The sequence below is a fragment of the Homo sapiens genome, chromosome 16 (genome assembly GCF_000001405.40).
Source record: "Homo sapiens chromosome 16, GRCh38.p14 Primary Assembly".
Lineage (NCBI taxonomy): Eukaryota > Metazoa > Chordata > Mammalia > Primates > Hominidae > Homo > Homo sapiens.
Window position 1 is genome coordinate 22,846,981 of NC_000016.10, and position 17,945 is coordinate 22,864,925.

The 17,945-nt window shown below is 42.8% G+C and overlaps 1 protein-coding gene across 1 annotated transcript in view, besides 1 other annotated feature; it reads left to right on the forward strand.

Annotated features, from left to right (window-relative positions):
* HS3ST2 (heparan sulfate-glucosamine 3-sulfotransferase 2) overlaps positions 1–17,945 on the forward strand; it is a 102,177-nt gene that overhangs the window by 32,819 nt on the left and 51,413 nt on the right. The gene's annotated exons all lie outside the window — the stretch shown is intronic.
* Positions 12,878–13,441: an enhancer, noted in NCBI's record as "OCT4-NANOG hESC enhancer chr16:22871179-22871742 (GRCh37/hg19 assembly coordinates)". NCBI's record gives its function as "activates a minimal SCP1, AML or CMV promoter by ChIP-STARR-seq in naive H9 embryonic stem cells {active_cell/tissue: H9 hESC(naive)}" and the evidence as "EXISTENCE:reporter gene assay evidence [ECO:0000049][PMID:30033119]".

Sequence of the window (17,945 nt, forward strand, 5' to 3'; positions counted from 1 at the left end):
TTTTAACTTTTATTTTAGGTTAGGGGTACACGTGCAGGTTTGTTATGTAGGTAAACTCATGCCATGGTGGGAGTTGTTGTACAGATTATTTCATCACCCAGGTACTAAGCCTAGTACCCAATAGTTATTTCTTTCTGATCCTTGCCCTCTTCCCACCCTCCACCCTCAAGTGTGCCCCAGTGTCTGCTGTTCCCCACTTTGAGTCCGTGTGTTCTCATCATTTAGTTCCCACTTATAAGTGAGAACATATGGTATTTGGGTTTCTGTTCCTGCATTCGTTTGCTAAGAATGATGGCCGTCAGCTCCATCCATGTTCCCACAAAGGACATGATGTCATTTTTGTGGCTGCATAGAATTCCATGGTGTATATATATACCACACCTTCTTTACACAGATAGATCTTAAAAGCATAGTGCCTAGTGAAAAATGCAAGAAAGGAAGTGAGACATTTAGATAAATATCATTTATGTAAATTTTTAAAAACCCATTTGCAAATTTATTAAAGCCCATGTGCAAATTTTTAAAAACTCAGTGTATATTGCAAAACAATATACGTGTTGCAAGATCGTACTGAAACCAAACAATATCCATTAGATATATGTTTCCTCATGGATTGCCTATAGGAGAGGGGAATGGAAGAGAAGTATGAGGATAAAACTGAAAACATGAGTTAATACATATATTTTTTAAAGGAGCTGTGCGAAGGGCATACATGATAAGCTATTAAGCCATAGAGTCAGGAGTACGATTAACTTTGAACGCCTGATGTTAAAAAAAAGAATAGGGAGAGAAAGAGAAAGAGGAAGAAGAATAAGAAAGAGGAGAAGGAGGAGGAGGAGAAGAAAGAAAAAAATAAAGAAAAGGAAGGAAGGAAGGAGAAAAAGAAAAAAAAAGAAAGAAAGAGGAAGAAAGAGAGAAAGACAAAGCAAGAAGGAAGGAAGAAAAGGAAGGAAGGAAGGAAGGAGGGAGGGAAGAAAAGAAAGAGTGAGAAAGAAAGAATTTGTTCAATTAATAGTCTCATTTTCTTCAATTCTTGCCTGATCAGGTCAGCCTCATGTGTTTTCTGGAATCCTATAATTCTTATTTTAATGTGTCCTTTTCCTTCAACTGGCTGGTAAGCCCCTTAATTGCTGGTGCTATGTTTCATTTGTTGTTTATTCTTAACATGGCTGCAGCGAAATGTAGCTGGAAGAGCCTGGATTTTGGCGTCAAAGGAGCCTCTACCACTTATTGCCTGTTTCATCTTAGGCAGGTCACTTCATCTTCTGAGCCTCAGTTTCCTCACTTGGAAAACAAGGGCAAGAAGACTTCTGATGGCTATCACAAGGACTAAATGGAATTTGGACTATTGCCAATACAGTTCCTACAATAGGCACTCAGAAAATGCTAGCTTCCTCTCCTTGATTTTATTTCCTGCAATCCCCAACACATTATAGGTGTTCTGTCAAGATTTTTTGAACAGACATTAACTGATGTTCACCAGAGACTGGAGCAGAAGATGATGGCTTTAGCTCAAGCTGAAAAAGAACTTCCATACAGCATTTTTTTAAAAAGCCTCAGGATTGCTTCTGAGTGCAGTTGTGAAATATGCTCCTTTGAATACCTTTAGAAAGGAATTCTCTACCTTCACATACGCCTCCACAACTGCATTCCCTGGCTCTGTTTCTCTGCATTCAGTCTTGAGCATCCTGTGACTTCTCACTCACCTTCCTCCCTGCTGGTCTCTTGGAAAAGTGCTCTACGTATTCAAGTTGATTTCTCTCTCCCTTTTGTTCTCTGCTGTCTGTTAGAGAGACCATAACTTAACACGAGGCTCTATGATTATCCCCATGCTGGCTGCCAAGGGAAGGAACCCTGACACCGTACCATGCATGGTGGTGATTTTCTGAGGCCCTTAGATTGTTTGCATTCATCTTACCAGCAGGTTATACCCGCCTTACAATTATCCAGCTGCTTTTATAAAATCTTGCATTCAATGTGAGAGTCTTTAAAAGCTTTCACATTTAGAACATTTAAAAATCCAGCAGGTTTGGACAATGAAACTGACTCACTGTGCTTTGGGTGGGTGTTTTTACATCTGTATGCCTTGTTTTTCGCATCTAAGAAACGGGAATGATCTTCCGTGTGGCATGTACACCCAGAGGGACTTGAAGCATGTAATGTGCCCTAAATAGCAGGTTTCATGAATGTAGACCCACTCTCTGGCAGTTATGGCTCCCTGACCCTCTACAGGAACACACTCGTGCTGTCTCACCATTTCCAGCCAACAGGATCTCACAGATGTATGTACTTACCTCTTTAAAGTAACTCAATACTCTCTTTAAAATAAGCCAGCCCACCCAGAGACTAACAGTATAAATTAAGGGCAAACAAACCTCTTACTAAAATGTCTGCAATACAGAAATGTTACAGCTCATCTTCTATATATGGAAATACTATCTTTTTTGCGGGGGGGTATGTCTAGTTCTTATTCTAAATCTATTTAGGTGGACAGAATAGGCTAAGTTGTGCTGTAGTAACAACCACAGCATATCAATGGCTTAACACAGCAAAAATGTGTTTCTTGCTCATGCTACATGTCCAACAAGTATCAATGTGCTCACTGTGGCCCCTCAGGGACCCAGTTGAGAGACACTTCATCTCAACATAGGCTTCTAAGGTCATCACAGAAAAAGAAAAGGAATGGAGTAAATTGCGCACTTGTTCTCAACTTGTCTGCCTGGAGGCAGCTTCAGGCAAGGCTTGATTCAGGACACAAACTATACCATTGTGCTCCATCTTTCAGATCTGCTTCCTCTGGCTAATCTCTATTCTTGGCTTCTACTCGATAACCTCACAGCACCTAATTCAGCCAAAGGGACAGGATGATTTTGAATAGTTCTCACACCAGTCCTGGGATTCCCTCTCTCATTACCCTGGATGGAGTAATATAGCCATCCTGAAGGGATAACTGTAGCTAGGGGAATACAGCGCATTACTGGCTAAGTGTAAGGTCCTCCCCGCTCCTGGGGCTGGGTATGGGAGTAGGGTTGCTCCCATACAATAAAATACAGGATTCCCAGCTAAATTTGAATTTCAGATGAATAACAATTTTTTTAGTATAAAAAACATTCATTGTTTATCTGACATTTACATTTAACTGGGCATCCTGCATTTGTATTTGCTATTAATACAATGGGTAACCCTTAATGGAAACCCCTTTCCAAAACACATGTAGGGAAAGGGTGGTTCCCTCCAATGCAATGATATGTAGCATAATCAGAATGAAGGACAGTGGCAGCAACTGTAACTGTTCACTCTAGTAACTATGTCAGGGCTCGAATGGGTGTAATACTCTCGGTAGGTATATATGTGTGATATTGCCCTAAAAAATAATACCTTATAATGGCATGCCATTGCTCCAGTTATCTATTGGTATATAACAAACAACGCTAGAATTTAGTTGCTTGAACCATAATTTATTATTTCTCATGGTTCCATGTGATGACTGGGCTGAGCTGTTCTTATTCAGAATCTCTCATATAAGTCGGGCGCAGTGGCTCACACCTGTAATCTCAACACTTTGGGAGGCCAAGGCAGGCAGATCACTTGAGGTCAGGAGTTCGCGATCAGCCTGGCCAACATGGTGAAACCCCGTCTCTACTAAAAATACAAAAATTAGCGAGGTGTGGTGGAGCTCACCTGTAATCCCAGCTACTTGGGAGGCTGAGGCAGGAGAATCCCTTGAACCCGGGAGGCGGAGGTTGCAGTGAGCTGAGATTGTGCCACTGCACTCCAGCCTGGGCTACAGAACGAGACTCCATCTCAAAAAACAAAAACAACAGAAAACAAAACACCAAAAACACAACAACAACAAAAAAAACAGAATCTCTCATACAGCCGCAGTTCTGCAGTTGAATATCAGCTGGGCTGTAACCATCTGAGGGTTCTACTGGGATGAATGTCAAGCATGACTTACCTGCATGGCTGGGAGCTGCTTCTGGCTGTCACCTGTGAGCTCAGTTTGGGCTTTCAACCAGAGTGACTACCCATGGCCTTTCTGTAGGGCCTGGGCTTCCTGCACATGGCAGCTGGGTTCTGGGAAGGAGCATCTCAAGGGCAAGCGTTTCCAGAGGTCCAGGCAGAAGCTGCAGGACATCTTATAACTTGGTCTCAGAAGTCCCAGAGCATCATTTTTGCCTTAAGCAAGTCATTGAGGCCAGTCTAGATTCAAGGGAAGGGGAATGAGACCCCATCTCTTATGTGAAGAGCATCCTGTGTGTACAGGGAAGGGAGGAACTGATGGGGCACATATTACATCATTTATATAAACCACCTGCATTTTATGTGCATAATGTAATTTAATGCTCACATCAACTCTGTTGGGTAGAAACTGACTTTGTCTCATTTTATACGTGAGGAAACCAAGTCTTATTGGAGTCAAGGGGCTTGCTCAAAATCAAAGAGCCAATAATTGGCAAAACTAGAATTAGAACTTAGTCTTCTGATTCTAAGTTGATGCTATTTTTTTTCTCCATTGCAGCCCAGCTGTCTCCTCACTGGAGTGGTATAGCCATAAAATATGGGTTTAAGAATAAAGCTGAAAATCTACCCTCCTGAAGGAGAGAATCTCAGATATAATCCATACTTTCCTGATTCCTGGGAGTTTCCCATCTCCTAGTTGTTTATCATATTTCCTGGGTCTCCTCTAGGATAATTTAAGATAAAAGGTGAAGGACGCCTTAGACTAATATAATTTCAAGCCAATTGTCGTGTTGATGGCTGTGGTAGTTTAGATTATTATTCCATAAATATTCACTCCCATCTCCCCTCCACTGGGGCAAGGTATGCTTCCTCACTCCATCAGTGTTGGGCTTGACTGTGTGCCCTAGGGATGTTAGCTGATGTAACATGACCAGACATTTGAAATGTGCTTATGGGGTTGTCCTTCTGCAGTCACCTATGAGAATACCCTGAGCCATCTGGTTCCTAAAAGATGAGAGACACGTGGAGCAGGCTTGGACCCAACCTGAAGCTTAGACCCAAGCCCAGGTGAGCCCAGCTGAAGCTCAGCCTAGGCCAGTGGTTCTCGACTGAAAGTGTTTTTTCCTATCAGGAAACATTTGGCAATGTCTAGAGACATTTTTGATTATCACAACTAGGAGAAGGATGTTATGGGCATCTAGTGGATAGAGGTTACTTCTAAACAATACAGTGAGCAGGACAGCCCCCATCTTAAAGACTTATCTGGCCCCAAATGTCAATAGTGCTGAGGTTCAGAAACCCTGGTCTAAATGAGCTCCTAGTGTAGACACAGGAGCAAAAATAAGTGATTTCTCTTTGAAACCTCTGAGTTTTGTGGGAGGTTTTAAAATGTAGCATGATTGTGGTAGTAAATAGCTACTATAATGGCAAATGTGAGAACCATGTTTTAGGAGGCAAGCTCAGTAAATGGTTCCTTCTGGTGAAACTTCGCAATCTCCCTGCTGGCTCTGGTCCCCAGTCATTCCTTCTGGCACAGGGTGGTCCTGCAGATGAGCTCAGATGTGTACTAGTTCTTAGACACCCTGGGAGAAGAAGGCACCACCTTGGACCCCAAAGATTCCTCCCTCAAGCTTTGTGTCATCCTCTTTCTTGCCTTTTGAAGCCCTTAATGACTCTCTGCCTCCCAAGGCCTGCCCCTTCCCCTCTCTGTCACATTCATTTTGTCTGAAGAATTTTCTCCAGCTGGTTATTAATGCGTGTTTCTCCTGCAGAAAAGCTCAGCCATTTCTCTCATCATTCCAGGCTTGACTCTCCAGCCCTAAGGACCACATACCCTTGATGGTGACTCGTGTTCACCAAGGAACCGAATTCATTCTGTACTTTTCCAGAAAAGATGAAAAAGTGTTCCTTTTGGTCCTTCATAAAATCCCCACATCCCTTAGGATATTTTTACGTAGTCTTGGTTTCCAAACTGAGAAAGGAATCGGGTTCTGACTAATCTCACGAAAGAAATTATAGAAACATTTTTTTCTCTACTGAACATGCCATCCCATTTTATATCAGCTTACCTTTTTCACCCACTTTGAAGAGTTTTTAAGAATTGAGGTTTAACTTTGCATATAGCAGCATGCACAAATTGGAATGGTACAGCTTGATAAATTTTTACATCTGCACACACCTGTGTAACCAGTACCCAGATCAAGGTCTGGGACATGCTATCACCTCAGAAAGCCCCCCATGCACCTTTCCAGACAGTCGCTACCCCCACAAATCTACCCTATTCTGTCTCCTATCACCAAAGATTAATTTTGCCTGTTTTCAAACTTCTTACAGGTGGACTCATACAGTGCATCTTACAAGATATGCACATTGGTGTCGGGGTTCTTTTGGTCAACCTAAAGTTTTGAAATCCATCTATGTTGTTGGGTGTAACAGTTAAAAGATTCTAAATGGCATCTTCCACAGAAAAGAGGAAGGATTTCATAACAATTTCTACCACTGCTATTTCAGGAATCCGTGAATGGGTAAAAGAGAGAATTTAGGCCTCCTAGGGAAGATGGGAACTTGAACATAGGCATCTACATCTTCCCCTCTTCCTCCCCTCACTCCCATGATAATGATAAGTGCTAATAGGAGGATGATCGGCATTGGTTTCAGATGCTAGGATAGCTTCACCTATATGGCAGAGACTTCAAGATGAGATGGGCCTGAAGGTGCCACGGAAGTCAGCTTCCCTCTTTCCATCCTAAGAAGAGGAGAGAGCATTGTGGGACAGGCAGAGGTCCCTACAGCAGAAGTGGCTGGGCCTCCTTCAAGACTGGAAGACTGCCATGATCACAAAAATTCCAAGGAAGGCATCTCCCCAGCGTCCGCAGCCAAAACAAATAAAAATCCACTGAGACAGGGCATCCTCTGAGGCTGATTGTCTGGTCAAGCAAGAATCCTGGCACACTTATTGGCCTCAACAGGTTGACTCTTCTTGAGTCAATTTTGGTGATTTATCCTTTCCTAGAAGAGCATCTACTTCCTCCATATTTTCAGTTTCTAAGCATGGACCCATGTGGTCTCACTATTGTATTTTTAATCAGCTGATGATTGGCTGGAACATGATTTCAGTCATGTAGAATGTGGGTATTGAACTTCCTGAGCCCTTAAATATCTGAGAATATCTTCCCGTTGTTGTGCATAGGGGAATGGCAACTTGGTTGTGTGTGTAGATTTCTGGGGTTGCAGGCTTCCAGAACCCCAAAGCTCAACATCGTCTTTGATGTCTACTGTTAACAGAGGTAAAGTCTGAGGCCAGGCTGACTTTATCCTTTATAAGTAGGCTTTTCCCTGAGTATTTATAGAGTTCTTTTCCTTGAAGTTAGAACTTTGCCAGGATACGTATCTAGGTTTTAGTCTCTTTTTTATGAATTTTTTTCTGATGTGATTTATATTCTTTTGAAACACAGGTTCAGGTTTTTCTTTAATTCAGGAACTTTTCCCTCATATTGAATATTACTTCTATTGTACTTGTTTTGGTATCTTGTTCACAGATATACATTTTCTATGTGTTATATCACATTATCTGTCTTGATTATCACCACTTCCCTCTATCCTTTTCCTCTGAATCCTAAGGAAGTTTCTCAGGCTTCTTATTATCACTGATTTGCTTTTCTGCATTGTTAATTTATCTGTTACTGTATTAAATGCTTTTTTTTTTTTTTTTTGAGACAGGGTCTCACTCTGTCATTCAAGCTTGGGTGCAGTGGAATGATCATAGCTCACTTCAACCTCAAACTCCTGGGCTCAAGCGGTCCTCCCACCTCAGCTTCCCAAGGAGCTGACACTACAGGTATGTGCCACCATGCCCAGCTAATTTTTAAAAATTTTTGTTGGGACAGGGTCTTGCTTGGTTGCTCAAGCTGCTATCAAACTACTGGGCTCAAGTGATCCTCCCATCTTGGCTTCCCAAAGTGCTGGGATTATAGGCGTGAGCCACCACACCCAGCCTCAAATGCATTTTTAAATGGTTTAATTTCTTTCTGGCTTTAAACTACAATCACTTTAATCTCTTTTCTTCTCAACTCGTCTATGTTTTTGTGTCATGGAGTCTGCACTGAAAAAGAAATTTATGAAAAGTAGAAAGCAAATGCTGTTGGAATTTACTCTATTTCCTGCAGTAAATCATTTTCCAAACCACATTTTTCCTCTGCCCATTTTATGACATTGGCATTTTTCACAGGCCTCACATTTCTCCCCTTGTTTATTGCTTTTAATTGATGAGAGTTCTATTTGGGTCTGGCATGTCCTCCCAAGCAGAGGGCAATGGATTCTTCTAGTAGTTTCCCCCAACGTGGGCCTTGAGCTGGGGGTTTTTGCAAGTTGAGGGGTTGAGCATCCTTGGGGACACAGAAGGAGGGTGAGGCCACAGATAATCCCAGCCCTGGCTTGTGACTTCTCCACATTTGACAAGGTCACCATGGCAGGTTTCAAATACCTTCAGCTTCCAGGCCCTGGCTGGCTGGCTGCTTCCTACCATGCCTGCAAGAATTCCTGCTGCCTTGGGAAATTTCCCCTGTCCAGCTGCAACTGCCACGCCCCTGCTGCTCTCTAAACATCTGGAAGGCTCTCCTGCCACCCTGCTCTTGAACTCAGAAAGCATTCCTTTTCAATCTCTGATTTTCTCCCACCTCCAAGCCATCTGGCTTCTGGGGTATCAGGAACAATGCATCAGTTCTTTCTCTCTGTCTGTCTCTCTGTCTCTCTGTCTCTCTCTCTCTCTCTCTCTCTCTCTCTCTCTTTCTCCTCTCCACTTCATACGCTGACTTCATTCTCAGACTCCTTATGTTACCATGATGCTTCAACCCTTATATCCTCACAATTCCAAGTGCAACAGAATTTTCTTTTCTCCCAGCATTCCCAGAAAAAATCTAGCTGTGACTCATTGGCTCTGATTGGGTCACCTGCTCATCTTTGGACCACTCATCACAACTAGCGAGTGGGATGTTCTGCCTGGTTTGGGCATGGCTCATATACTCACTTCTTGAGCAGAGATTTGGATCTGCCCCACTCAAACTCTAAAAAGAAATGTTGGGGTATCATTACTATAAGAAGGATGAATAGTTGGTAGATGGCACAAATAATAGACATACATTACAGAAGAATTCTCCACTTAATTCTGCAAAAGCACTCTGCTTCCTAAGTATGGTAGATTGTGAACTGGCTCAGCAGGGATTCCATGTGAAACTGGGCAGGTTTTGTACTGCACAACCATGCATACCTAAGGGGCCCAAGTTACATCATAGACACTATAGATTTGCATAACTTTTACCATTTTCCAGCAGACGGAAGAAGGGTTTTGAGGAAGGGACACATTTTGCTAATCATGTAAATGTGCCATGTAGACTGGTGACAAGTGACAGTCCTGTCAAGATATCTTTACTCAATATTCATTTCCGTGACCTGCAATTCCTTTCCCTGAGCTGCCAGTCCTGATGCAGTTTCTTCAGATTATTTTTGCATCTTTAAGTCTGTAAGTCCTCAGTCTCCTGTCTTTTCCTAGAAATAGAAATCCTATTGCTATGTAGGATTGTTCTTCTGTCTTGCTCCCATGCTTATCCCCAAAACACATAACCTCCACTAAGAAACCCAACTCTCCCCTCCTTTATCTTTTGGGTTTTGAGCATTTCTGATGGGAAAGAGTTTTGGGAGGTCCCTCCTGGGGTAGCTGGATTTGAATCTGGAGGAGCAGGAGAGGCTGTGTCTGCTTCCATTCAGTAGCTGATGTGTCCATTTGGCCGTGACCTCAGAGGGCCCTGAGGAGCTGTACTTTGCAATCAGGAGTCCAGGCAAGGAATCACCTGGATTTTAATTCTGACTTTTCTCAGCCTTGGGCATGTCACATCACTTCTCTGGGCCTTTCCATGAGAGTGCAGAGCTGAGTCATTTCTGAAGGCTTTTCCACGCTCAGATCTGATGACTGCAGGTGTCATTCAAGGGTAAAAATGAAAACATTTTCAACAGATGCTACGTAATCTCAATGGCAATCCTTAATACAATGTACATATAATATATTCGAGGCACTATCCTAGGTGTTTTGTATGCACCATGCCATTTCATCTTTCCAGCAACCCCACAGATACCTGTTACCATCATGATCGTTTCATAAATGAGAAAAGCGAGGTTCAGAGGGGCTAAATGACACCTCGTTAAAAAAAATCAGTTAGGTTTCAATCCCATGACTTTGTTTATGATTTCCTGGTGCTGAGTATAGTGATGAAAGTAATGTTATTAATTTCCGTAGTTATAATTTTAAACACAAGTCAGTATGAATGCAAATTGTTTCACAAGACGCTTCTTGCATCTTTCCACACGTATGTTACCCAACCACCGTCTTCTTTCTTCAAGCTAGAGGCCTTTTGATTATTTTCTTCTAAGAAAGCACCTCTTTGTGATTTTCACTGTAGCCTCTCGATGAGTATTTGAGATGATTTTAAAGCGTAAACAGTGGAAAACGCGTTAATATCATTTCCTTTCCAGCCTCATTTCAAAATGAAAGGGAAATGTGTTTGGGGAAAAATTCACTTACAAGTTTGGCCAAATGCCTAAACTATGCAAAGAGCCTGACAAATGGAACAAAGTTTAACTTGCTCTAAATAACATCTCCATGCCTCTGATTCTGGGCTGGGGAAAGCTCTTACACTGACCCGTTTGCTAATGATAGCCCGGACATCAATAATGGAATGTGAAAGACAATCTTCTAATCAATTTTTTTTTCCTGCTGGTTTAGATTAAAGCACAGAAAATGCCCAAATGCTCCATCTGCTTCCTCTAAGATTTCTGGTAGGCTGGAGCCCAATTATGGCTGCCTTATCCATTTTTAATAATCTACTTATGATCGCGCAAACACAGGGTGTGATTATACCCACATCGGCTTCTGTTTCAGAGCTTCCATTTCCATCTATAATTAATAAGCCACTCAGTACATTGGAGGGGAGCTGAAGGAGAGATGTGAGAGATTCTTAAGTAGGATAGCTTTTGCGGTGGTTGTTCTTTGATTCACTTTACCAACCTTCACTGATGTCTACAGTGTGCCAGCCGCCGTGCTAGACCCCAAAGGTAAAAGAATAACACACACTTTTGCCCTCTTTAAGAGCTCTTAGGCATTTTAGAAAGAATGAATAAGACCTAGTATTTGCTAGCAAAACAGGGTGACTATAGTCAAAGACAATTAAATTGTACATTAAAAAATAACGAAAATTGTATAATTGGATTTTTGTAACCCAAAGGCTAAGTGCTTGAGGGGATGGATACCCCATTTACCTTGATGTGATTATTATGCATTGCATGTCTGTATCAAAATATCTCATATAACCCATAAATATATACATCTAGTATGTGCCCACAAATTTTTTTTAAAAAATTTTAAAGAAGAGCTCTTGGACTATCAAAAAAGATGTACAAGCATGCATGTTTTGTTTGTGATGTGAGTTGGGCTTTTTTCCAGAAAATTCAGCTGCTAAGACAATCAAGATGTTTTATGTTCCCAAACAATGAAGTATAGGATAATTAGATCACTATATTATTACAAATATAATTCTAAGAGAGCTTATTTTGGAATCCTTTTTTTGTTTGTTTGTTTGTTTGTTTGTTTGAAAGGAAGTGAGCTATTCTCGGGAAGTAGTCATTTTTATAAGGATGTGAGAGTAGAAAAAGACAAACTTGCAGCTAGACAGCCAGGGTTCAAGTCCCAGCTTTGTACTGTGTGACCTCAGACACGTCTCTTGACCTCTCTGAGTCTGTTTCTGTATTGTAAAATGAGGAAAATGGTTCCTTCACTGGGCTTGTCTGAGATAATGTGCATGAATTCAAGGTATGGATTGCAAAGTACTATATCAGTATAATAAAGAAAGCTCAAAGTCTTACTGATCAGAAATATGATAAAAACCACTTTGGGCCAGGTGCAGTGGCTTACACCTATAATCCCTGCACTTTGGGAGGCTGAAGTGGGAGTATCACTTGAAGCCAGGAGTTTGAGACTAGCCTGGACAACAGAGCGAGACCCTGTCTCTACAAAAAATTAAGAAATTAGATGGGCGTGGTGGTGTATGCCTGTAGTCCCAGCTACTTGAGGGGCTGAGGTGGGAGGATCCCTTAAGCCCAGGATTTAGAGGCTGTAGTGAGCTATGATCGTGCCACTGTGCTCCAGCCTGGGTGACAGGGCAAGATCCTGCCTCCAAACAAATAAACAAACGAACACTTTATCCTTATTTTTCTATTTCCCTGCCCAGTTCTCCCAGCCAAATGTTACCCATGCTCTAAGAAGACCAAAACCTTCACCTTAGCGACTAGTATGAAGTATTTTGCAGTACTCAAAGTACAAGTTATTTTTCATATTTGCAAACTGTGCAAACTGCCTCTAATAATTTTTAACACAAAGGGGATACTTTAGGAAAGATATTGGGGCCTCACACGTTTGCAGAAAGCTAGATAACTGAATTTAGTCCATGTTCTGTTGTTATTTGCTGAAAACGTAATTGCATCACTGATTTACTGCTTATACTCATTTTCAGTGTTATAGCTGTCAGATTCCTTACATCTTTTATGAGTCTTGTGTTAACAATCCACTGTGCCCACTCTCCTATCTCAAAGGCTTCCTTCTTGGGCCAAAGGGGTTCTTTCTAGACAGAGTTGCTTTCTTAGCCCATCTTAGAAGAATTCTCTACCTCTGATTTCAAAATTCCCACTGCTAGGCTTGATGGAAAATTCCAGCAATCTATAATCTATGATTTATAGCTGAGTGAAACCTACAAACATTAATCTCCAGCAGTAACCGAGCAGTATTAAGTGAGAGTGCAGGCAACAAATGCCTATTTCTGAGGCATGAGAGTTACTCTGATCTGGTCTGGACCTGGTCCGAGGGGATTTCTGACTTGGGCATGTAGGGGTGATTGGCAGTGGGGTGGATGCAGAATGGGAGGGGTCTGAGCGTGTGCACCCCAGCTCCCTGACATATTCCTCAATCTGAAGTCCAGCCACATTGCTCTTCCTCAAACATGTCAGGTTCACTCTGCCTCAGAGCCTTTGTACTCAGCCCTCTTACTGGAATTCTCTTTCCCCAGAAGGCCACACTCTCCCTAACAGCTCTATTTAAAATGACAATTGCCCTCTTCCCTTGTATTAGTCTGTTATTGTGCTGCTAATGAAGACCTAGCTGAGAGTGGGTAATTTATAAAGGAAAGAGGTTTAATGGACTCACAGTTCCACATGGCTGGGGAGGCCTCACAATCTTGGTGGAAGACAAAGAGCAAAGGGACGTCTTACATGGCGTCCGGCAAGAGAGAGAGCTTGTGTAGGGGAACTCCCCTTTATAAAACCATCAGATCTCGTGAGACTTATTCACTATCACGAGAACAGCATGGGAAAGACTTGCCCTCATGATTTAACTACCTCCCACTGGGTCCCTCCCATGACACATGGGAATTATGGGAGCTACAATTCAAGATTTGGGTGGGGACACAGCTAAAGCATATCACCCCGCATACACATCAGAACTCCCCATCTGACTTCTGCAGTTTATTTATTTATTTATTTTTGAGCAATGATCACTTTTTACTATATCACTTGCTTTTGGGGAAGGAGTCTGTCTCCCACCTCTAGGCAGGAATTGCCATCTATTTTGTTCACTGCTGCAATCCTCAACACTTACACCATTTTAGGCAATTGTTGGCTCCCAATAAATATTTCTGGAAGGAACCAATGAAAGCCATAGTCTTAGATATATAAATTGCCTTTATGTATCACAGTTATGAGTGTATAAAAGTATGAAATATAAAATATCATACATATTTAATAATTTAATACCCTTAATGTATATTTAACATCTTACAATATATGGTAGAATATATAGTATATTTAATATAGTAATAGATAAATATGTATTTAATATAATTATATATAGACAGACAGGGTCTTAGTTTGTCGCCCAGGCTGGAGTGCAGTGGTGTGGTCGTAGCTCAATGCAGCCTCGAATTCCTGGGCTCAAGCAATCTTCCTGCCTCAGCCTCCTGAGTAGCCAGGACTACAGGCAAGCACCCACCACACCTATATAATTTTTAAAAATTTTTTTGTAGATATAGGGCCTCACTATGTTGCCCAGGCTGATCTTGAACTCCTGAGCTTAGGCAATCTTCCTGCCTTGGCCTCCCAAAGCACTGGGATTACAGGCATGAGCCACTATACTCGGCCTATAAATATATTTTATATATCATAGTTGTATATCATAGTTTTGATATATAACGTTCTTTTCTGGCCTCTAGAACCACAGCCCAGTCTGGGGGGTCCATCAGAGACTCTACACTTGTGGGCCCATCTCTCTACTTTTGTCTCTGCTTGTGGCCTGGGGGCAGCTGCCCTGACTGCATCTGAACCAGAGTTGAACCCAGTTGGCTACTGGCATAGACAGAACCTGTACTTGCTGGAGAGGAGTTTCTTGTTTCTGAGAGGCCTGGAGGACTGGGGGCCATACCCTGGAATGGCAGTGGGTAGGTGAAGTGACCAGAAGCTGGAGGAGCCACCATCCCCAGGACCAGCCTTGGCCCTCTCCTCTTCCACAGGCATCTGAGCTGTCATCTGAGTACTAAATGGTACATGGAGACATTGACAGTCAGAGACTTTTAGAGCACAGTGACTAAAAGAAACACAATTTTTAATCCAGAGCTGGGGAGGGAAACTCCTTCTAGAAGTCATGGGTCAAGGGAACTTAAAATAATACAATGCACATCTCTTATTGTGGCCTCCGGCATCTCATGTGATATGGCTGCTGCAATCCTCTGTGGGCCTCCTACTTCCCCCTTGCTCACCACCCTCCAACCACAGTGCCCTCTCTGGCTTTTGAACCTGCTGAGCCGCTTCCCTGCCTCGGGACCTTTGCACTGGTCTCCTAAAGAGCTCTGCTCCCCAGTCTCAGCCTCCTCTCATCATTCAAACCTGAGCCCAGTATATCCCATTGGACAGACCTTTCCTGTCTGAAATAGCTGCCCCATCCTGTTTATGTTTTTCATAAAGAAAAGTAAATGTACTTGTTAAATATTCACTGCTTCTCTGTCCACCCCAACTGTGGTAATGTGAGCTCCATGAGTAGGGGTTTTTCTCTGGTTCATTTACAGCTGTAGCCTTAATGCCAAGTACAGCACCTGGCACTTAACAGGTGCTCTGTAAGCATTTGTTGAATGAATAAATGAAGGAATGCACCAACAGACCAATTAGGCCTTCCTGTTTTAGGATCTAAAGGCAACTGTGTGTGTGTGGGTGTGTGTCTCATTCATGAAGCAGGCTTCTCCTCAGCTTTTTTTTTTTTTTTTTTTGGTAGGGAATCAGAAGCAAAGGTTGCAAACCAGTAGACTGTGGGCTAGTTGGAGCCTGTGGATCTGTTGAAGTGGTTTGATTGGCCTCCCACCATGTTTTAAGGGCAAACTAACCAGGCACCTGTTATACTTGCAATCCCAGCTGTTCAATATAGTCATGTTATACCATTGCTATCTCACACATTTCTGTTACCTGCCCGGCTCCTGCAGCATGTGAGCTTCACCCGCCCTGGACTATTGGATCATTTGGACTCAGAGCATTTGATGTGTGGGTTCTGTAGCTTCTACTGCTGTCCTGTGGATCAGAGTTCATTTTCAGGAACCTGGATGGCAAACCAGCCTTCTCACCTGGGACTCAGCCAGGTTGCCAGTCCGGGACATGTCTATCACATTCCTAGGCTCAAGGGGTATTCAAGGCATGGCTGATGGCTTTCTTCTTTCCAGAGAAGCCAAGCAATTTTGACAGCCAAGAGAGAAGCATGGAGTGGAGGATAAAGATTTGGAACATCTCCTACGGGGATGAAGGGGGCAGCCCTCATGGGCAGGATCTGGGTCTGTTTTGTTCACTGCTTATGTCTTCAACATCCAGCATTGCTTGGAATGCAGTGAATACTAAGGAAACTCTCCCCAGCTTAAGGTTCTTCACTTAATCACATCTGCAAAAACTGCTTTTCTTAATGAGGTCACATTTCCAGGTTCCAGGGGTTAGGACCCGCTGGGGACCATTCCTCAGCCGACTACAGACAGTCTTCCCAGTTGTCCTGGGCCTCCAATGAGGCACTAGTAATTGCAAATAAGCTTCTGTGGGATCATCTGGATTTTCTGGTAGCCTCACTAGTGCCTCCAAATGAACAGAACTCATGACACATGTTTGAGAATGATATACTTCCAGAATCTTGCCCTTTGGGATAGCACATCAGTAGACATCGTTGCCGATTTGTTCCTGCCTTGGGGCCATCACATTGCTCTTACTCTCATGACTGTGCTCATAAAAATGGTCCCCCAGTCACTGCTGTTATTCCACACATGTGGGTGTCCTCTGATTCAATGCCCCTCTTCCTCCAGGATGCCCTCAAAAACCTACCTGGCCAGGGCCCTTCTGAAGGTTCTTTTTTCTCCCTGTCTTTTTTAAAAAATAATTTTAACTTTTATTTTAGATTCAGGAGGTGCACGTACAGGTTTGTTACCTGGGTATATTGTGTGATACTGAGGTTTGGGATACAAATGATTCCGTCACCCAGAGAGTGAGCATAGTACACAACAGTCAGTTTTTCAACCCTTGCCCCCAACCCTGGTTTGTATTAATCCTGTGTCTATTGTTACCATTTGTATGTCCTGGGATGTCCTGGGACCCATCTTCTGGCTGCCCCTAAAATCATCAGCTCCTGTGACAGTGCCTCTGACCCAGCAAGCTGTCTTTGCTCACAAGGCTCACACACAAGAGACTGCCTAGAAGTCCCATCGATGAGGGCCATTCTGGCTCTCTTAGCATAACCCATAGCTCTCCAGGCCGTGCAAGAAGCTCAATGGCAATTACCTGCCACCCTCTCCCTTCATCCTTTGTGGTTCCCAACACTCAGTGCTCCACAGTTCCTTCCCGTGTTGAGTTTGGAAGGTTCTCCGCTCTATCTGAAAGCCCCTATCCTCAAGTTCGAGTGACAGAAAACCTCAAATGTATAGAATGAACATTCTCTTAGTAGAGTGGGAATTGAAGTCTCAAAGTAACATATAAACTTAAAAACCAAAAATTCATGCCTGGCTCCTGCAGCATGTAAACTCACCCACCCTGGACAATTGGATCTTTTGGATTCAGATCCTTTGATCTGTGGTTTGACTGGCAGTCACCCAAACCACCCTGCCCTTTCAGTTGAGGCTGCACCCATATGCTCAGCATATAATTTCTTTTACTTCTGGAGGAGGTGTTATGATGGATGCCTGACCCTCAGTGACTGTCTTAATCAAGGATCCTCTGGCTGCAAAGAGTAGAAACATATTCAAATTAGATAAGGCAGAAAGAGGGTTGATTATCAAGTTCCAAGGATATTTCATGGAACCAAACACAGGAAATATGTCAGGACCTCATGAAGAACTGTACCTGGGAACCAAGATGATAATTATTGGTTTGAACACATGGAAGACATTAACTAGCATCTCTAATTCTCAATTCTAAATTCCCAGGAGAGACTGTTTGATGTAGCTTGAGCCAAGTGTGTGTAGCTGGTCTGGTCCAGATCAAGAGGGCTGGGTTATTCAGTCCAAATGTGGCTGCAGGGGCCCCTCCTGGGGGTGAAGGGGCTGCTCACAGAGAGATGGAGAATGAGCAGAGCCCAGAGTATATCTATCTTAGTGACTGAGTGCATACAAATCACATGTTTACCACTCTCCTAGGAAGAAGGCCCTCAAGACACTGTAATTAACAAATACATCCAAGTGCTGCTGTTTTAAAAAGACAAAATAGTCAGGCTTTGGCTATATAAATCAAGGATCATGCCTGTAATCTCAGCACTTTGGGAAGCTGAGGCAGGAAGATCACTTGAGCCCAGGAGTTTGAGAGCAGCCTAGGCAACATAGGGAGACCCTGTCTCCACAAAAAAAAAAAAAAAAAAAATAGCCGGGCATGGTGGTACACAC